Below are 21,807 nucleotides of genomic sequence, written 5' to 3'. Positions count from 1 at the left end.
CTCGAGTAGCTGGGATTACAGTGTGTGCCACCATACCCAGCTAATTTTTTGTATTTTTAGTAGAGACCGGGTTTCACCACGTTGCCCAAGGTGGTCTCAAACTCTTGAGCTCAGATGATCTTCCTGTCTCGGCCTCCCAAAGTGCTGGGATTACAGGCGTAAGCCACCGTGCCCAGCCGATCATGGGGTTTTTGATCACCTTTTTCTACCTTGAAGCCTCTGCCCATCAGAACCATGGAGCGCAGCAGCCGGGTATGTGCCTGTGACAGACCCATTCCAGCCATGTGGTGTGTGGCAGGTTCCCTAGGGCTCGGCCACATGTTGGTAGGCCTGGAAAGGAGCAAAACAGCACTAAATGGACAGGGGTCTCTGATTCAAATGGGTCCCTAATTCACTGGAGCCACCTCCCCGCTTCTGACTCCTTGGGCGTATTCACCTTTGAATTTAGGAATTTTCAACTTTCTGTTTTGCCAACAACCCTGCCCTTTGGTGTGGGGTCCAAGGGGTCGGGGACCCAGAGTGGGTGTTGCTAGGCTGACTGATGGCAGCCTTCAGAGGGAGTGAGACCACCCCTCCCTTCCCTCCTTCCCCCACCCTCTTTGACACCGCTGGGTTTTTTTTTTTTTTTTTTTTTTATCAAAAGCACTAATTTTGTGATGTAATGTGATGTAGCGATGAAGGACCCAGCCCCGGAGTCAGACCATGTGGTTTGAATCTCAGCTCTGCTAGTCAGGAAGCCTGGGCTGGATTTCTTAATTTCTCAGTGCCTCCATTTCTTCATCTTTGAAATGGGGTTAGTAATAGTCCCGGTTACTGCAACCATTATATGAGATGATGAACCGCGACACCAGCATGATGCCTGGTTCTTATTGACAATGGCTACCACTTTCTCCACACCTATACATCACTACATGCCTGGCCTAACTTGGCTGGACTCCAGAGCTTGGGCTCTTTTGGCCACAGTACTCTGTTTCCTGACAGCACTTATGTCCTTTACTCCTGAAATATTTGAAATGTCAGGAAGATGAGACTTGTCCTTGGACAAGTGGCAGAAGGCCAGGGCATGGCCAAGTTATCAGGATGCTCTCTCTTTCCAAATAGGGTTCCCCTAGACCACCTAGCCCCTCTATGCTCTAAGAAAGAATCATCATAATTCCACCCTCCTTTCCTCCCTCTGGGCCCCCAAACCTCTCCACCTGCTCCAGGTGCCCCACAGTCGGTGGCAGGACCATCGCTATGTAAATGTCTGTGCAAATACCCTGGTGTCAAGCTGCCAATTCTCCAGTGAGGCAGGACTACCTCCTGAGACCATCACTTCCCAGCCATGGGGCCCAGGGCAAAGACCATCTCCTCCCTGTTCTTCCTCCTATGGGTCCTGGCTGAGCCGGCTGAGAACTCGGACTTCTACCTGCCTGGGGATTACCTCCTGGGTGGCCTCTTCTCCCTCCATGCCAACATGAAGGGCATTGTTCACCTTAACTTCCTGCAGGTGCCCATGTGCAAGGAGTGAGTCTCCAGTGTGGGGCTGGAAGTGGCAGTGGGGATGGGGTGGGAGGCCAGGCCTGGTCCTGTGGGTCCTTGGGAGCCAGACCAGGACCAAGGGCTTAAAGCACTCCTCCCCATTCATTGCCAACCCCCTTATTCTGGATCCATGCCCCTAGTCCTCAGGGAGGCCCCGTATAATATGGGTTACCAAAATCTTTGGCGACTGTGCTCTGAAACACTGAGACTGGGGTCATCTCAGTGCCATTTTTTTTAAATAGAGTTACAGAATGTTTGAGCCTAGAGGGCTCTTAGAGGCCATCAAGACTGCTCCCACCCACTTTGGCAACTGGGGGACTCCCAATGGGTCCATGTCAAAGCCCATTCTGAAAACCTTTGGGAGGCAGAATGTGATTTTTCTGTAGCAGGTTCTGTGGTGGGTAGGGGTGCTTTTGGGCCGAGAGGGAAGTTCCTCTTCCCCCACCTCCTCCCTGAGCCCCTTGGGGTGGCAGCATCACTTGGAGATTGTGGGGGCTGTGTGCATCTGCATGCAAGCACGAAGGACATGGAGCCAGCCTGGGACTAAAAAAGAGTGACCTCTTGCAGAGAGGGTGAAGGTATTGCGGGAGACAAGGAGAAAGGAAGAACAGTGCAAAAGATGATTAAGGGTTGAGTATGAGAAATGCATCATTTATGACACTGGGGAAGATTATATGCTGGCTTGAGAATGGTGAAGGTGATGGCACCAGGCATGATGCTGGGTTTTCTAATGCTTGTGATCATGGTGGGGTGTATAATGATGGTGATAGTTGTGATGAAAGTAATGGTGGTGATGCTGATAATGTTGATAACAGTAATACTGGTGATGATGACAATGATAAAAAGTATGATGGTGATGATGATGATGATAGTGGTAATGGTGGTGATGATGGTGATGGTAGTGATGATGATGGCAGTGGTGGTAATAGTGTTGGCAGTGATGGTGCTGGTAGTGATAATGGTGATGGTTGCGTTGATGATGGTGATGGTTTTAACGATAGTGTTGGTGATGATGGTGATGGTAGTGATGATGGTGTTGGTGGTGATGATAGTGATGCTGAAGATGGTGCTGATGGTGGTGATGGTGTTGGTGATGATGGCGATGGTAGTGATGCTGGTGATGGTGTTAGTGATGGTGTTGGTGATGGTGGTGATCGTAGTGATGCTGATGATGGTGCTGATGGTGTTAGTGATGACGTTGGTGATGGTAGTGATGATGGTGATGGGGGTGGTGATGATGGTGATGCTGATAATGATGGTGCTGATGATGGTGATGGTGGTGAGGGTGTTACTGATGGCGTTGGTGATGGTAGTGATGATGATGTTGGTGGTGGTGATGGTGGAAATGGTGGTGGTGATGGTGGTGATGATGGCTGTGATAATGGTCGTGCTGATAGTGATGGTGGTGACGGTGATGATGGTGGTGATGATGGTCACAAGGTTGTGGTGACAGTGATGGCCCTGGTGGTGATATTGGTAATATGGGTAGTGGGTGATGATGGTGATAGTGGTGATGGTGGTGATGGAAGTCTTAGTGGATAATGATGGTCACATTGGTGGACATTGGTAGAGTGGTGATGGAGGTTATAGGGATAGTAGTGATGATGGCCACATGGATAACAGTATCAGTGGTGGCCATATGGGCAATGGTGACCCTAGAGATGTGGTATGGTGACAATGACATGGTGAAAATGCCCGAGTCTTCTGGAGTGGCTCTTCTCAGTCAATGCCTTGGCTTTCCTGTGGCAGGAAGGAGGAGTGGGCTGGTTCTCTTATCTCTTCCTTCCTCATTCTGGATCTGCTTCCACCTCATGATGCTGTGGCCCCTCCAGGTATGAAGTGAAGGTGATAGGCTACAACCTCATGCAGGCCATGCGCTTTGCGGTGGAGGAGATCAACAATGACAGCAGCCTGCTGCCTGGTGTGCTGCTGGGCTATGAGATCGTGGATGTGTGCTACATCTCCAACAATGTCCAGCCGGTGCTCTACTTCCTGGCACACGAGGACAACCTCCTTCCCATCCAAGAGGACTACAGTAACTACATTTCCCGTGTGGTGGCTGTCATTGGCCCTGACAACTCCGAGTCTGTCATGACTGTGGCCAACTTCCTCTCCCTATTTCTCCTTCCACAGGTGAGGCCCCTGGGCCCTGGAGAAGGACCTGGGGAGGGGGGCAGAGGAATGGCTGTCTAGAGGCCTCAGAAGCCACTTCCTCCATCAATCATGGGAGGTGATGATAGGACCAGAAGCAGGGTCAGGACATCAGCCCAAATCTTGAGAAGGTAGCCCAGCTTATGGAGTAAGGGCTCAGGCTTTGGAAGCGGGCAGATCTGGTTGTGCAACTTGGCACCGAGCCTTGGCCACAGTGAAGCCTTTGGCAAATCTCTTGACTCTTCTAGCCTCAGTTTCCTCACCTGTAAAGTGGGATGATAAGCGTTCCATCCCAGGACTGTCTGAAGGTTAGTGTTCAACCTGTGTAAATTTCTGGCACACAGTAGGTAGTAAATAATGTTGTTTTATAAAGCATCTTGCACAGGAATAAAAACTTGAAGTGCTTAGTATTATTCTGTACAGCTGCCTAGCACAAGGTCTGCCTCGTAGTAGGTCCTCACAAAAGGGTGATTTGTATTACTACTATTATTATAACTATTATCATAATCATGATTGAAAGTGCCAAGTGCAGTACTGGTACAGGCTATATATTCATTAAAGATCAGCTAGCAAAAGACTTGGCACACAGTAGGTAGTCACAAATATTGTGATTGTTACTGTTTAATGTTAGTACTTTTACATGAAGCATCTAGCTGAGGACTGAATTCATTCTTTCATTCATGTAACAGATATTTATTGAGCACCTACTATGTGCCAGGTACTGTTGTAGGTGCTGGGATACAGCTGGCAACAACTTAGAAATCATCGCCCTCATGGAGTTTCTCTTCTAGTGGAGAGAGACAGAAAATAAATGTAAACAATAATAGGTGATGCAGGATGTTAGAGGTGAGAAGTGCAATGAATAAAATAAAAATGTGGGCAGGGTGGGGGTGTCTGGCATGTCAGTGGAAAGGAGGAGTTGGTAGAAGGAGATTGCAATTTTCAACAGGGTGGTCAGGTGGGTGTCACTGACAATTGGGCGAAGACTTGAGGGAGGTGAAGGAGTGAGGGAGCCATGAGGGACCTAGCAGAAGAACATTCCAAGAAGAGGGGTTAGCAAGTGCCAAGGCCAGGAGGTGCCTGGTATGTTTGCGGAACTAGATGAGCAGAACTGGAACCAGAGGGAGAGGAGAAGGAGATGAAATCAGACAGGCGAGAGTTGTGCAGATAAATGACGGAGCCCTTAGGGGCCATTCAAGGACTGGCTTTTCCTGGGTGACGTTAGGAGCTGTTGAGGAGTTCTGAGAAGAGGAGTAAAGTGACCTGACATGTGTGTGAGCAGGGTCACTGGGCTGCCATGTTAAGCATAGACTATAGGGGAAAGGTGGATGGGTAATGTTGCAGTGCAGGCCGGGGATGATGGTGGCTGGACAGGAGGGAGTGGGGAGCTGGTAGGCACTGGATGGATACATTTTAAAGGTAGAGCCAAGAGGATTTGCTGATGGATCCAGTGTGACCTGTGTGCGAAAGAAGAGTCAAGGACGACTCCAGAGTTTTTGCCCTGAGTCACTGGAATGATGGATTCATCACCAGCCAAGATGGGGGAGGGTGTGGATGGAGCAGGCTCAGAGGAGAACAGGGTTCAGTTTCGATCTGTGAAGTTTGAGATGTCAGGCAGGCAGTTGTGGTATGCATCTGAAGTTCAGGAGAGAAGTCCCGGCCAGGGCTATCCACTGGGAGTTGTTGACGTGGAAATGGGATATTAAGCCATGAGGCTGGATGGGACCACCAAGGGAGGGGGAGAGCAGCTGGAGAAAAGGCAGGGACTGAGGCCTGAGCCCAGGGTCCTCCAAGGTTAAGAGGTCATAGAGAAGAGAAGGAACCAGGAAAGGAGATGGAACTCCCAGTGAGTTGGGAAGGAAACCATGGAGCCCTGGAGGTGGAGGGAAGAAATGTGGCTAGTTGATGAGCCTGACGGTGATGAGGGGGAGGAGGAAAGCGCTGTGCTTAGTAAGAGTTTCTAGATGATGGGGATGATGGCTATGTCATTCACCTAGCCCAGGATGTGGTTCTCAATAAAAGCCAGTGTGCTGATGACCATGAGGATGATGGTGTATGTGGCTTGGCCCAGGGTGTGGTACACAGTAGGTGCTCAATAATCGTGATAAGACTGAGATAAGGCACCTGGCCTAGGGCCTGGCACACAGTAGGTTCTTATTGCATGGGGCTACCTGGGGACCATGATGATTGACGATGGTGTAAACCACCTACCCCTGGGGTGGCTTGCACTAGGTGCTTCCCAGATGATGATGGTGGATAGAGCCCTGGGGTGGGGGCAGAGCACCCAGCGGGGCACTCGCTCATGCCACAGCCCTTCCCCTTGCAGATCACCTACAGCGCCATCAGCGATGAGCTGCGAGACAAGGTGCGCTTCCCGGCTTTGCTGCGTACCACACCCAGCGCCGACCACCACATCGAGGCCATGGTGCAGCTGATGCTGCACTTCCGCTGGAACTGGATCATTGTGCTGGTGAGCAGCGACACCTATGGCCGCGACAATGGCCAGCTGCTTGGCGAGCGCGTGGCCCGGCGCGACATCTGCATCGCCTTCCAGGAGACGCTGCCCACACTGCAGCCCAACCAGAACATGACGTCAGAGGAGCGCCAGCGCCTGGTGACCATTGTGGACAAGCTGCAGCAGAGCACAGCGCGCGTCGTGGTCGTGTTCTCGCCCGACCTGACCCTGTACCACTTCTTCAATGAGGTGCTGCGCCAGAACTTCACTGGCGCCGTGTGGATCGCCTCCGAGTCCTGGGCCATCGACCCGGTCCTGCACAACCTCACGGAGCTGCGCCACTTGGGCACCTTCCTGGGCATCACCATCCAGAGCGTGCCCATCCCGGGCTTCAGTGAGTTCCGCGAGTGGGGCCCACAGGCTGGGCCGCCACCCCTCAGCAGGACCAGCCAGAGCTATACCTGCAACCAGGAGTGCGACAACTGCCTGAACGCCACCTTGTCCTTCAACACCATTCTCAGGCTCTCTGGGGAGCGTGTCGTCTACAGCGTGTACTCTGCGGTCTATGCTGTGGCCCATGCCCTGCACAGCCTCCTCGGCTGTGACAAAAGCACCTGCACCAAGAGGGTGGTCTACCCCTGGCAGGTGAGGGGGTGGCTGCCATAGAGTCTGCAGGGCACCTCCATCCTCCTCCCCTGGGGTTCTGGGCAAATGGGTGTGAAAGGGCATGAGTATCCCATTCTTCCAGACACATAGCACTAGTCCTTCCTGGTGCCAAAACAAAATTGCTTTTTAAATTAATTGAACACTCACCATTCAAGATAGTAGTCTGTTCTTGGGAGATTCAGGTGGAATTCACCAGAAGGAAATCCCACAGGCAGTGGGAACGGCAGCGCCCCCCTCCCCCAGTCTCTCCAAGGTTGAGAGCCTGGGACGGGCTTGTGTTTTCGCGTGGACCCTCTAAAGGCCTTGAATTGCTTTTGTGGGTCTTCATTACCCTAGTTCTCTATCACCCTGGTTCAGACATAGACTTTAAATCTGTTCTTCTGGCTTAACACACACATCCACATCCACAGGCACACACAGAGACCTCCCACCACGAAGCTTTCTGGGATATAGAAGGTTTTACTGAGGATCAGAGGAGCAGGGGGGATTTACATTAGAGACGCACACTTTATACTTTGCTGTTAGAGATCTCTGTTCTTAAATGGTTCCTTGGCTTTTTCACAGTTTGGGGCCAGCCTCCCACCCTGCTATTTAGCCACTTCCCTAAACCCTGTCCAACTCCCCTCTTTGTTCTCCCCTTTCGCCCCCTTGCTAGATCCCTCTCCCATCCTCAAATAACTGTTCACTTCCTTAACAGAACAAATTAGTTTGCTCTGAAGAAATTCTCTCTCTCATTCTATATAATTGTACCTCTCTATCCCATAATCTCAGATCCTAACCTTGCAACCTTAAACACTTTTCTTTTAAAAGATTGCAGTTATTCTTTAAAAGGAATTCTGGTGCCAGTTGGTAAAAATACTGTGTATTGCTGTATGTCCTGTTACATTAATAATATACATAATTATCATGGGTGCTTTACTCCTCTTTGAGTGCCTACTAGGCACTGAATGCCTAGTATACATCACATCTAACTCATGACCCTCCTGTGAGGATAATCTACAGGTAGAAAAGCTGAGGGGCAGGAAGTCAATGTGACTAGCCCGTGATCGCTCAGTGGTAAGTGGTGGACCATGCTTTTGAACCCAGGTCTGGCCCATTCTGCTGTGGTTTTCCCACTTCACCTTCTGGGCATCCTCCCAGCTGCAACTGGCAGGAGCTATGATGAAAGACAGTTGACTTTTTCCTTCTCCCAGCAGCGGAGACCAAAGGGCACCAATCATAGCAACCAGGATGTCCCATCCCTTTTGTTGAGCACCTACTATGTGCCAGGCCTGGGGGACCCCCAACCTAGGAGGAGATGAGGACAGTTAATAAGATCTGTCTGCCAAGTGCAGCAAGAAGTCAGAATTGCACCTGTGCACAGAGCAGGGGCATCATCATGGTGGGAGAGGGTCAGGGAAGGCAGGACTGAAGTAGGGAGTGAACAGGCACTGGACCTTCCAGGAGGAGAGTGGGAGAGTGGTGGCCTGGCCACGTGACTGGGCTTGAGTGGTGAAGACTGAGAGGCGACGGGAACTGCAGGTGTTACTGGAGGGCATCTAGTGCCCCGAAGGAGAGGCGGCTTTGTCTAGAGGCAGCAGGCGTTCATAGAGCATTCCAAGCACTGAGATGACATTCTTGAGACAGCCCAACAAGCCAATTTAGGGCTGGGGATGATGCAGTCAAGAGGCAGGGAGCCCAGCCCACCCTATGTAGGCTTCACCCAGGGTCTCTGCTGGCATAAACAGCGTCCTTGGGAGAATTAGAAAATGATGCCCTTTTGTGCAGACAAGTTAGACCAAGATGCTCTTTGGCTTTGGATGCACGCAGACCTGTGGCAGGCACATGGCTTTGTGGCCTGAATGGGCTGGACTCCAGCTGTTCCTCCCAGTTGTCCTAAATGGACCCCCTCATGAAGGGCTCAACCTGCAAAATGGTATGTGGTGTCCTTACTACCTCCCACCCTCCTTGCTGGGTCACACCACGGCACTCTGTTTATTTTTGTCATAACAGGTATCCCAAGTTGTGATTGTGTTGATATCCTTTGTTTGTTTATTGGCTATTCCCCACACCTCCCAAACCGAGGCCAGTGAGAGCAGGGACCCTGCCAATCCTTTCCAATGCTGTATCCCAAGTTGCTAGCACTGGTCTGGCTTCGCGTTGATTCTCAGTGAATATTGGATGAATGAATGGGCACTTATGTGCCGGACACGGTGTTCACCTCTTTACATGAATTCTCAGTCACCCCCAGACAGACACTGTTGAGCAGATACTGTTACTACACGGTTGCTGTCCCATACACAGGTCAAACTGAGGTTCAAAGAAGTGACAGGCACCCAGCTAGGGAGTGGCCAGGGGTGGTGGTAAGGGATGGTGATGAAATAGTGCTGGGGTAGTGGGGATGGGCACCCCATGAGAGGCGAGGTAGAGAGACAGGACTCAGGGGCGATGAGAAGAGTTGGAGATGACACTGGGTAGATGTGCTGCCCGTGCTGATGGTGGTGGTGGGGTCAGATCAGTGGGAGGTTGGGTAAATCCAGGCTGGCAAATTTGTGGCCATCACAGCAAAACTGTTCAGCAGGTTGGCCGGGTGCGGTGGCTCACACCTGTAATCCCAGCAGTTTGGCAGGCCGAGGCAGATGAATCATGACGTCAGGAGTTCGAGACCAGCCTGGCCAACATGGTGAAACCCCATCTCTACTAAAAAAACAAAAAATTAGCTGGGCATAGTGGAGGGCGTCTGTAATCCCAGCTGCTCAGGAGGCTGAGGCAGGAGAATTGCTTGAACCCAGGAGACGGATGTTGTAGTCCGATCTGAGATCGCACCTCTGCACTCCAGCCTGGGCGACAGAGTGAGACTCCGTCTTAAAAAAAAAGCAAAACAAAATGTTCAGCCAGTCATTGAATCAGGAGGGTCAGGGTTGCGAGCTCTTCTCAGGTTCTGGTCCAATCCTTTTATTTCACAAATGGGGCCCTCGGCACTGGTCTGGCTCTTCCCCACACAGCTCTCTCCACATTTCTCCACCCCTCGGGCATCTCGGATATGGCCCACCTGTTCGTACATTGTAAGGCAGGTGGCGGTGAGCTGGGCAGAGCTTAGCTATCATACCTGGAATGGAATCCCAGTGCTGCCACTACTAGCTGTGCAAACCTGGGCAAATTTAATATCTCTGAGCCTTGATTTTCTCATCTGTTAAATGGAAGGAATCATATGTGCCCTGCTGAGTTATTGAGGGGATGTGCAATCATGATGCAAATTACCTGGGGCAGCGAAGAGGCTGAATGTACTCCTCCTCTTCCTCTTCTCTGACACCGAGTGCTGGCCTCAGGAGAGAGTGTGGGGTTGGAGAGGTGGACTTGAGTCTGCCTTAAATGTACAGCTTATGCTGGGATAGGGGTAGGGCTAGATGGGGAAGGGGAAACGGGGTTCAACCTGATGAGGGAACCCCAAGGTGCCCAAGTCCCTGCCAATAATAGTCTAGGCTCCCACCCACTCAGGACAATTACAAGGCCAGTGCTTTCCGACCCCTTGGGGGTGATATCTTGGATCCCTCAAGTCCCAAGTGCTCAACCCTGCTTGGGCAGGTCATTGCAGAGGTGCAACATGGGCACCCAGGACCTGATTCCCAGGGGCCTCCGCCATCCTGATCCTCATCCTCAGGCCGACCACCTGGTTGGAGCCTCCTTCTTGGCTCAAAGGACCATTGCCCTTGGGCTTAGCAACCTGTGCACATTCCAAAGAGTCTTTCTGAGTCAGGACCTCACGTGCTAGGCAGGGAAGGGAGAAGGCCAGGGCCCGACTCCCTTGGCTACCTGTCTGTGTGTATCAGTCCCTGAGGCCAGGTGAGCCCTAAAGATATAGCCAAATGGACACTACCATTTATGGAGGGAAAATCTAGGAGCCAGGTCCATGGGATATTTGAGCTGGAAGTCCTTTCAGCGTTAGCCCAGCAAGGTTCAGAAACTTGCTCAGAGTCACACAGCAAATTGCGAACAGAACTGGGACTGGACTTTAGGTCGGAGGATGCCCAGTTCAAAGTGTGCTCTAGTTTGTCCCAGCTGCTGCCTACTGAGAGTGATGGGGGGTTGGGAGGTGGGGAGAGACTGGAATGAGAGCTGACCCTAAGGTCTGGGGAGGTAGGAAGGACCCAGGGATCAGGGGAGACCCCAATTGGCCTTTGCAGGTGACAGAGACAGTGGACTCTGTACCTCATCTCATGTATTGGGTTCAAGAGGGATGACTGAGGTGACTTCCAGGGAAAAGGAAATCTATCAGCACCTTGGTAGGAGTGCTTCCTGTCTCAGGCTCTGCTCTAAGTCTCTAACATAGATGAACTTATTTTTTGCTTCCAAGCCCAGAAGATAGAGTTTTTATTGCTCCCACTTTGCAGAAGAGGAAACGGGTTCAGAGAGGTTAAGAAACAGGCCCAAGGCCTCACAGCAAGGGGCAGAGCTGAGGCCTGAACCCAGATGTGTCTGGCTCCAAAGCAGAGCTCTCAGCCACTGACTCCTAAATTGCCACCCTTTCGGAGATTTATTGCCTCCATATTACAGAGTTGGAAATCAAGGCTAATGGAATGGTAGAATCTTTCCCAGGTCCAGGAAAAATTCTGGCTCAGATTCTGATGCTAGCTCCACTTCCCTTCCCTCTGACCCCGCCAGCTGCTTGAGGAGATCTGGAAGGTCAACTTCACTCTCCTGGACCACCAAATCTTCTTCGACCCGCAAGGGGACGTGGCTCTGCACTTGGAGATTGTCCAGTGGCAATGGGACCGGAGCCAGAATCCCTTCCAGAGCGTCGCCTCCTACTACCCCCTGCAGCGACAGCTGAAGAACATCCAAGACATCTCCTGGCACACCATCAACAACACGGTCAGCCAGGGGGCCTGGTGGGTGGGCAGGCCTGGGGCGGGGCCTGGGGCCCTTGCTGGAGTGGCTAGGGCCCTTTTCATTAGGGACAGAGCCTGGAGATGCTTTATCAATCTCTGGGGGGATGTCTATTTGTGGGTGTATCGTCTGGGGTCCTTTCCTTCCCCCATTGATTGGGAACTATGCCTGTTCAGGGCTTTCTGGTTTCCCAGGAAGAGGGGCTCAGGGGCCTCTGCAAGGTAAACGTTCACTTTGTGTGTGTGCCTGACTTGGTGCTAATGATTTCAATTCTCACATCAACCCTGGGGCAGTGGTCCCCAACCTTTTTGGCGCCAGGGACTGGTTTAGTGGAAGACAATTTTTCCACAGACTGGGAGGAGGATAGTTTCCGGATGATTCAAGTGCATTACACTGTGTGCTTTATCTCTATTATTATCGTAACATATAATTGTAATATATAATGAAATAATCGTACAACTCACCCTAATGTAATATTAATGGAAGCCCTGAGCTTGTTTTCCTGCAACTAGACGATCCCATCTGGGGGTGATGGGAGACAGTAACAGATCATCAGACATTAGATTCTCATAAGGAGTGTGCAACCTAGATCCCTTGTATGCACAGTTCACAATAGGGTTTGTGCTCCTATGAGAATCTAATGCGGATGTTGATCTGACAGGAGGTGGAGCTCAGGTGGTAATCAAGTGATGGGGAGCAGTTGTAAATACAGATGAAGCTCTGCTCTCGCTCACCTGCTGCTCACCTCCTGCTGTGTGGCCCAGGTTCCTAACAGGCCACAGACTGGTACTGGTCTGTGTCCCGGGGATTAGGGACCTCTGCTTTATCAATAGCTGGTAGGACCTCTATTCGTGGGTATACAGTCTGGGGTCCTGTCCTTCCCCCACTGATTGGGAACTATGCATGTTCAGGGCTTTCCAGCTCCCCAGGAAGAGGGGTTCAGAGACCTCTGCAAAGTAAACACTCACTGAACATGTGTGTGCCAGGCCTGGTGCTAAGGACCTCAATTCTCATATCAACCCTAGAGGATAAATGCTACCATTTTCTCCATTTTATAGGTTAGGAAACTGAAGGCACCGAGAGGTTGTGTGACCTGTCTGAGGCCACACAGCTAGTCTGTGGTGGAGGTTCTCTATATACAGCATACAGCTAGTCTGTGGCGGAGGTTCTCTATATACAGCATTCAGGCTAAAGCCTGTGATATGGCTTGGCTCTGTGTCCCCACCCAAATCTCATCTTGTAGCTCCCATAATCCCCACATGTTGTGAGAGGGATCCAGTGTGAGATAATTGAATCATGAGGGTGGGTCTTTCCTGTGCTGTTCTCCTGATAGTGGATAAGTCTCACAAGATCTGAAGGTTTTAAAAATGGGAGTTTCCCTGCACAAGCTCTCTCCGCTTGCTGCTATCCATTTAAGACGTGACTTGCTTCTCCTTGCCTTCTGCCATGATTGTGAGGCCTCCCCAGCCATGTGGAACTGTAAGTCCATTAAACCTCTTTCTTTTGTAAATTGTCCAGTCTTGGGTATGTCTTTATCAGCAGCTTGAAAGTGGACTAATACAGCCTGTCATTGGATACTCTTGTTTTAGTTTGGTAGCTATGCCTTCAACTGAGTCTGACATCTGTCAATCTAAAGATCCATTATTTTACCCTCTTTAGAGAGTAGACCATCAGAATTCTGCTGGAGTAGGAAAGGATAGAGACCTGCCTTGTGGAGTTGGGGAGGGGATCTAGAGATCTAAAAGCTTCTGGAAGAGACTTCATCACTCTCCTTTGCTAATAGCCTGCACCCTCTTCCCCCCAGTCCCCGACAGCACTCTATCCCCAGTTGCAGAGGTACCTGATGCTGTGAGTTTCTGAGTGCCTTGGGGATTTTTGTGGAGTAAATTAGGGTGGTGTCTGTGTTAGTTTCCTAGGCCTGCCTCACAAAGTATCACAGACTGGGGTGGGTAGGGAGCTTAAACAGATGAAATTTATTGTCTCACTGTTCTGGAGCCTGGAAGTCCAAGATCAAAGTGTCAGCAGGGTTGGCTCCTTCTGAGAGCTGTGAGGTAGAATCTGTTCCAGGCTTCTCCCCAAGCTCCTGGTGGTTTGCTGGCACTCTTTGATATTCCTTGACTGTAGATGCACCACCCATATTAGTCCACTCTTGAATTGTTACAAAGAAATGCCAGAGACTGGGTAATTTATAGAGAAAAGAGGTTGCATGGGCATACTGTTCTGCAGGCTGTACAGGAAGCATGATGCTGGCATCTGCTCAGCTTGTGGGGAGGCCTTAGAAAATTTACAGTCATGGTGGGAGGCAAAGGGGGAGCCACCTTGTTACATGGCTGGAGCAGCAAGAGAGAGTGAAGGAGGAGATATCACACACATTTAAACGACCAGATCTCACAAGAACTCACTCACAATCAGGAGGAGAGTGCCAAGAGGATAGTACTAAACCATTCTTGAGAACTCTATCCCCATGATCCAATCACCTCCCACCAGGACTCACCTCCAACGCTGGGGACTACAACTGGACATGAGATTTGGGTGGGGACACCCACATCACCACCCCATCTCTGCTTTCACCTTCAGGTGGTGTTCTCCATGTGTCTGTCTCCAAGTTCATCCCTTTTATGAGAACATCACTCATATGAGATTAAGGACCCACCCTCCTCCAGGATGACTTCATCTTAACTAATTATATGACTATGTTGACTGCAGTGACCCTATTTCTTAATGAGGTCACATTCTGGGGTCCTGGGGACTAGGACTTTAAGCAGGATATAGTTCAGCCCATATACTGTCTTAGCTTTGGTGTCTCCCAGAAAGCAGAGCCTGAGACAAGGGTTTATGTGCAGAAGATTTATTCCAGGACATGATACATGGACAGGAACAGGAGTGGGAGACTGGGGAGAGTTCCACAGGGAACAGGGAAAGTTGGTCCAAGAGAACAACCTCAAGCCACACACTACTCTGAGCAACTGGAGGTCAATCTTACTGGGACCTCCCGAAGAGCCACCTTAGCATTGTCTCCCAGAGGAGGGAGGAGGGTGGCAGTAATCCACTAGCTCCCATCACCTGGTGGTCAGGGGTTGCTCTGTGGGGTGTTAGCTTCAGAGGCCTCCCATGGGCATTTCATACTGCAGCCTTAGGGCAGAATACAAGACACAGCTGTGTAGCCGAGGCCAGGTGCTGACAGGTGGCACTTGCTTGAAACTGGTGACTGCAGCAATGGCTGGAATAAACAGTGGGTTGAGAAAATATGAGGCAGGCCACAGAGAGGCCCATTTCTTGTTCCACTCAGTGGCTTTCCTTGAGCCTGAGGAGTCACAGACTTTTTAGAGCAGCCGCCAGCTCAGTCTCTAACAGAAAGGGAGTTTGGCGGACTTAGCCACTACCCAAAGTTGTCACTGATATTCATCTCTCTCTTCTGCTTACCATTCTGGGTTTCTTCACTCTCAGCCAGCATTTGGCTGCTCTCAGTCACTTGCCTGGGGGGTGATCCAGACCTTCTTCCCCAAGGTGTCTGGGCCCTTAGTTGCCTTGCATTTCTGGGCTGTGCCTGCTGCAGATTCCCACCCGCAGGTGCACTGGGATTGAAGCACCCAGGGTTGCCTGGTGAGTCCTTGGGTGCCAGACCTACTCCTTCCTACTCCACTTGTGTAGCAACCACCTCAGCTCCACCCACGAATCCAGGTCAGTTACTTCTTCCTTTCTTGGCCTTCTCATTCACTGGCATGAGGAACCCAAAATGACCACATGGTAATCGTAGAGCCCTATAGTGTCTGCTGGTGGAAGTATTCCCCCTTTGGGGACCAGAATCTCTATTCCAGCAGAGTGTAAGATTGTAGAGAGGAGAAGCACCAATGCTGCAATGGGTTCCTGAGAATAATGGTGCATGTAGCCAATCCTTCTGGTTGCTGGATACACATATTCTAGCTGTTGAGGCCACAACACTATACACAAGCCATTCATTCAAAACTTCATCTTAAAGGGCAGTGTCCCCACCTTGCAGGGGGTCCTGAAGATGGTACCTTAGCTGAGCTTTTAGTATGTCATCTCATCACCTGGTTAGATAGGATACTTCTGGGTAATGTGGTATATGTTAGGATCAGTGGAGCCTGTGGTCACATGCCCATGTCACACCCCTTTACCATGAAGTTGACTCCTGATCTGAGGTGATACAGTGTCCTGCATCAATAAATCATTTGCTCTGTAAGCCCCCAGATGGCGATGCTGCATTGAAATCAGGGAAGGAAAATTCCCTTCCTGGAATTTTCCCAGAGAGGAAAAGATCTGATGTAATAGATCTTTCAGCAGTTGGTTGGCTGGTCTTTTTGAAGAATTGTATCAAGTCAAGGGCTCAGCATGGGTGGGTCTCTGATGCTGGAATGTTAGGTGTTCTGCAATGGCAGTAGCTAGGTCAGCCATGATGAGAGGAAGCTCAAGCTGTTGGGTTCATATCTGTAGCCTCCATCCCTGACATCATGGCCACTCTGTGCAGGCCTTGGGGTGGCTGAGGACAAAAGCCAGCTGACCTTCATTGGACAAGTCAACCTTCTTCTTCTTCTTCTTCTTCTTTTTTTTCTGAGACAGTCTCGCTCTGTCGCCCAGGCTGGAGTGCAGTGGCACAATCTTGGCTCATTGCAACCTCCGCCCCCAGGGATCAAGAGATTCTCCTGCCCCAGCCTCCCAAGTAGCTGGGATTACAGAAATGCACCATCACACCTGACTAATTTTTGTGTTTTTAGTAGAGACAGCATTTCGCCATGTTGGCCAGGTTGGTCTGGAACTCCTGACCTCAATTGATCTGCCGACCTTGGCCTCCCAAAAAATGCTGAGATTACAAGCATGAGCCACGGTGCCTGGCTGGGACAAGTCAACCTTTTAATCTGGTTTCTATTACTCTGTGTTTGCTCTCTGGTTTGCATTAACATGAGACACAGAGATCTTCATGCTTTGTGCTCACTCTCATGGATCCATACATATACCTTTCCCCAAGCAACTTTGTCTCCATTCTTCCACTCTTGCTCCTTCCAGGCCCCTGAACAACCAGCCAAGCCATTCCATATGTCCAGGATCTCAAGAATATCCATCCTTCAGGACATCTCTCCATTCACACAAAGCAAACAACCAAGTGTCCTGCTTGCATCTCCACATACAAGCAGTATCTCCCATCATTACTGTCCTTCAGAATTCACCCTGAAAAAAGCTTTGTATCCCTGAAAAAAGCTTAGTATGGCAGCAGTCCACTGTCAGCTCACATTAATATATCAAACCAACCTACTTGTGAATCATTCCTGAATGTTCTCCTCTATTTATTTGTCATAAAGAATCTCTCCCTGAGGTCTTAGGTATGATTTGAGGGAGAGGCATTTGTTACAACAGAAATAGATACAGGAGTCACAATAATTGATTTAAGAAATTTACTTGGACCCACTGGCGCTTCTTGGATACCATTTCCCTTATATGAAGACTTGTTTTTATTCCTGCCTCTCTATAAGACTCTGTGAATCTGATAGTCACTTGATGTCCTGGGGTCAGGTACTCAATTTCCATGATGGCCCAGCAGGACTCCAAGAGTTGATTTTCAAGTAGTGAGTAGCATGTTGTTGTAGAAGGCATGGCATTGTTGCATCTCTCTCTTTGGGCTTGCCCATTCTTATAAGCATAGATAACTCAAACATCATCAGATCTCCTCGATCATGTGGCCCCAGTGGCAGGATCGCTTATACAGAAGCCAGGGCCTTCTTCAGAGTCATTTTCTGGACTTGTTACCCTCTGCCTTGAAACTGAAAGCCTTCTGAATCACCTGATAAACGGGTTGCAGTAGTATTTCCAGGAGCAATTTATGTTGTCCCGCAAATCTAAAGAGGTTTATAAAGTTCCATACTTTCATGGTAGCAGGTGTAGGGTGGATGACTTGTCTATTATCTTAGAATGGATGTCCTGGCATTCTCTGTACCTTTGGCCTCCTAAAAACATCACCAATGTAACAGCACCCCCAACCCCAAGTTTTGAATCTTTACAAGGTTTATCTCCAATCCTCTGGCATTCATAGGTCTTACTTGGATATAAAAGTGCTTGCTACTTTCTACTAACCAGGTCCAATTACCACGGTGTCATGAATATCATAGACCAGCGTGATATTCTGCAGAATGTCAAGATGAACAACTTCCATGTGGACTACATTGAGATCGAGAGTGAAAGAGTAAACTCTACGATAAGATAGTGAATGTCAGTGATTTGATAAGATAGTGAGTGTTAATGATGTAACATCTTTCTTCTTTTTAAATACAGATGTTTATAATAATAAATTTCCCTCTTAAGTATTGTTTTCACTGTACCCCATTAATTTTGGTACATTAAAATTTTTTATTTTTGTGATAAAAGACATATAACATAACATTTACCAATTTGTTTATTTTTAAGCATGCATTTCAGTAATGTTAAGTATATTCGCATTTTTGTGCAACAGATCTCTAGAACTTTTTCATTTTGCAAATTTCTAACTCTATTCCCATTGAACAACTCCCCATTTCTTCCTTCCTCCAGCCTCTGGCAACCATCCTTCTACTTTATGTTTCTATGAGTTTGACTACCTAAGACACCTCATATAAGTAGAATCATACAGTATTTGTCTTTTTGTGGGGTTATGTTGTGTTTTTATTTTCATTAATCTCAAAGTATTTTCTAATTTCCCTTGTGAATACTACTTTGACCTATTGTTATTTAAGGGTATGTTGTTTAATTTCCACATGTCTTTGAATTCCCCAAACTTCCTTCTGTTATTGATTTCTATTTCATTACATTGTTGTTGGGGAACATACCTGTTATTATTTCAGTCCTTTCAAGTTTATTAAAACTATGCTTACTATTTGCTATAAATAAATAGCAATGGTGTCAGAGGCCAAAATTTTCTCCAGTGTCCTTTTTTGTCTCCCATTTTATCTTTGGGTTTCCCTAGATATTCCTTCTTAAATGCAGTCTCAGCCTTGCAGTTATTTCGGTTGTATGCCTTGATTGATGTGGTGGTGAGATAGAGGGGAAGTGTTCTGTAATCCTGTGATTAGGTCTCAATCTTTCAGTAAGCCTGTGCCCCAGAACTGTGACCTTCATAAGTGCTTCTCACCCCACCCCCTTAGGTAAGACAAGAAGGCTAGAGAGGGCTGGAGTTCAGAATTTCTCTTTCCATGTCAGTTAAGCTCTGGTAAAATTCACATCAGTTGGGTTCTGGTAAAATGGTTTCCCTTGAGGAAAGGCATTTGTTAAGGAGAACAGAATGCTCTGAGCATATTTCAGAATGGCTGCTTTCCTTATCCCCTGCTAGAAGCATGAGAGTTTTTTTTTTTTTTTCTACAGTTTCCACCCCAAAACCTAGGGGGCTTCTAGGCTTCCTCCCCTGAACATCCTGCTGGTTGGAGAGGGGAGGGGGCCCCCAGAATGTGGGAAAAGAGGACTCAGGGTCTCTTGCCCTCCTCCCTCCAGATCCCTATGTCCATGTGTTCCAAGAGGTGCCAGTCAGGGCAAAAGAAGAAGCCTGTGGGCATCCACGTCTGCTGCTTCGAGTGCATCGACTGCCTTCCCGGCACCTTCCTCAACCACACTGAAGGTATGATTCACAGGCCTAGCACTCCTGCCCTGCCCCTGCCCTGCCCCTGCCCTGCCCCTGGAGTCTCTAGGGCTTGTCCTCCTTGGCAGGGTCTCTGGAGTACCCCACAGGGGGTGTGAGTGTCCAAAGGCCAGGGACCAGATCTGATTCCTCTTGTATCCTCCCAAAACCTAGTGTAGAGCAAAATCCTCCATACAGGCTGCTTCAGAGAGGGAGGGAGAAGGGAAGGGACGACACTCCCCCACGCTGGACTGCAGCTGATCCCACTCCACACACACATAGCCCAGGGCCCAGGGAGTCAGGCTGGGGAACACCCACTGGATGAATGAATGAATGAATGAATGGTATTTGCAATAGGAGGAAAGTTTCTGGCAGACAGGGAAGACACCATCTCATTTATCCCTCTGGCCTCCCAAGTGCCTAGCGTAGCTCAAAGCATAGCATAGTTGCTCAGTGGGTGCTTGTTGAATGACTTCCTTGATGAGAAGAATGATCATTTCTCCCTATAGAACATAAAATCTAGGAACATGCAGACAACGTCATCTCTGTCCACATTAGTGTTTAGCACAGTTCAGAGTTTGGAGCTCAATTCTTTTTCATGACTTCATGTAAATTAAATGGATGATGACATTTACCAATGCAAGTATTTAATATGTGCCTAGCAGAGCACAGGACACAGAGCAGGTGGTGAACAAGTTTGTGGAATGATTTCATTGGCCTTCCTCCCACAGTCAGTCAATAGCGGCGAGGTGAGGGCTGGGTTTTATCCATCTCTCTGTGGCCTTCCACCCCAGGTCCCTGTCACAATGGATGGTGCTCAAAAACACGTGTATTGAATGCATTCTTTGAGTCAGTGGTTGAATGCCTCTCACACCAGAGGGTGAGGTCTTGGAAGGGAGGAACTGCAGTTGGTAGGCTCTGGGTCAAGGAGACCTGGATTCAAGTCCTGCCTCTCTAACTTACTGGCTTTGGGCAAATTACTTAACCTGGCTGAGCCTTGGTTTCCTCATCTGTGAAATGCAGTTGCTGTGAGGATTTGATGAGCCAATGCACATGAGACTTGAGGAGTACTGGCTGTGAATGCAAGGGTTGCCCTTGGTGCTCTCTCTTCATCCCTGGAGCCTGGCCCTGTGCAGGGCTGGGAGGATGCAGGTGCTTGGAAGATGGGCTTGGCTAATGGGAGTCGCTGTGGCTTTTGCAGATGAATATGAATGCCAGGCCTGCCCGAATAACGAGTGGTCCTACCAGAGTGAGACCTCCTGCTTCAAGCGGCAGCTGGTCTTCCTGGAATGGCATGAGGCACCCACCATCGCTGTGGCCCTGCTGGCCGCCCTGGGCTTCCTCAGCACCCTGGCCATCCTGGTGATATTCTGGAGGCACTTCCAGACACCCATAGTTCGCTCGGCTGGGGGCCCCATGTGCTTCCTGATGCTGACACTGCTGCTGGTGGCATACATGGTGGTCCCGGTGTACGTGGGGCCGCCCAAGGTCTCCACCTGCCTCTGCCGCCAGGCCCTCTTTCCCCTCTGCTTCACAATCTGCATCTCCTGTATCGCCGTGCGTTCTTTCCAGATCGTCTGCGCCTTCAAGATGGCCAGCCGCTTCCCACGCGCCTACAGCTACTGGGTCCGCTACCAGGGGCCCTACGTCTCTATGGCATTTATCACGGTACTCAAAATGGTCATTGTGGTAATTGGCATGCTGGCCACGGGCCTCAGTCCCACCACCCGTACTGACCCCGATGACCCCAAGATCACAATTGTCTCCTGTAACCCCAACTACCGCAACAGCCTGCTGTTCAACACCAGCCTGGACCTGCTGCTCTCAGTGGTGGGTTTCAGCTTCGCCTACATGGGCAAAGAGCTGCCCACCAACTACAACGAGGCCAAGTTCATCACCCTCAGCATGACCTTCTATTTCACCTCATCCGTCTCCCTCTGCACCTTCATGTCTGCCTACAGCGGGGTGCTGGTCACCATCGTGGACCTCTTGGTCACTGTGCTCAACCTCCTGGCCATCAGCCTGGGCTACTTCGGCCCCAAGTGCTACATGATCCTCTTCTACCCGGAGCGCAACACGCCCGCCTACTTCAACAGCATGATCCAGGGCTACACCATGAGGAGGGACTAGTGCCATCCGGTGGCGTCTGGGAGGGAGGGAGGGCCACAGAGTTGGGAGGCGGAAGCCAGGGGTCTTCCCTGGCTGGTTCAACTCCAGATGGAAGCAGGGAAGCCATCCCCAATTACTCCCACCTTGCCCTGGTTAATAATTTAGCATTCCTTGGAGGTCCTTTGCATCTGGGCCATTTTTACCCACTTAGTGTTGGGTGTCTTAAAACATCCACACTTCATTGCTTTCCCTTGACCTATTTTACATGCCAGGCACTGTCATCTTCTAGAAAAAAACCACCCAAGGTGACCTATTGGTCTCCAAAGACAAAGTCTGATTTAGCAGCCTATAGCCGCATCTGGCGGTCACAGTGGGCACCAGCAGGTTGCAGCTCATTCCCTTCACTCATGTTCAAGGCCAAGGGAGGCCTTGGGTGCACTGG

General features: G+C 49.8%; 1 protein-coding gene across 1 annotated transcript, besides 1 other annotated feature; it reads left to right on the top strand.

Moving 5' to 3' along the window:
* The first annotated feature begins 1,324 nt into the window (after positions 1-1,324).
* TAS1R2 (taste 1 receptor member 2) lies at positions 1,325-21,386 on the top strand. Its single transcript, NM_152232.6, has 6 exons — positions 1,325-1,506; positions 3,354-3,654; positions 5,999-6,772; positions 11,435-11,644; positions 19,133-19,256; positions 20,458-21,386. Exons 1-6 carry the CDS (start codon positions 1,325-1,327, stop codon positions 21,384-21,386), a joined length of 2,520 nt encoding a protein of 839 aa, NP_689418.2.
* Positions 11,188-11,321: a silencer, noted in NCBI's record as "fragment chr1:19176158-19176291 (GRCh37/hg19 assembly coordinates)". NCBI's record gives its function as "represses an EF-1alpha promoter that drives an FKBP-Casp9 reporter gene in an ReSE screen in phorbol 12-myristate 13-acetate-treated (for megakaryocytic differentiation) K562 erythroleukemia cells {active_cell/tissue: K562(+PMA)}" and the evidence as "EXISTENCE:reporter gene assay evidence [ECO:0000049][PMID:32094911]".
* Positions 21,387-21,807: the final 421 nt, after the last annotated feature.

This window comes from Homo sapiens, chromosome 1, assembly GCF_000001405.40.
Source record: "Homo sapiens chromosome 1, GRCh38.p14 Primary Assembly".
In the NCBI taxonomy this organism is placed as follows: domain Eukaryota; kingdom Metazoa; phylum Chordata; class Mammalia; order Primates; family Hominidae; genus Homo; species Homo sapiens.
The sequence above is the reverse complement of the archived record's forward strand: the minus strand, read 5'-3'. Positions and strand labels throughout refer to the sequence as shown.

Coding starts and splice junctions, on each gene's coding strand:
- TAS1R2 (NM_152232.6), top strand. CDS start 1,325: ATGGGGCCCAGGGCAAAGACCATCTCCTCCCTGTTCTTCCTCCTATGG. Junction 1,507..3,353: donor CAGGTGCCCATGTGCAAGGA/GTGAGTCTCCAG, acceptor TGGCCCCTCCAG/GTATGAAGTGAAGGTGATAG. Junction 11,645..19,132: donor GGCACACCATCAACAACACG/GTCAGCCAGGGG, acceptor TCCTCCCTCCAG/ATCCCTATGTCCATGTGTTC.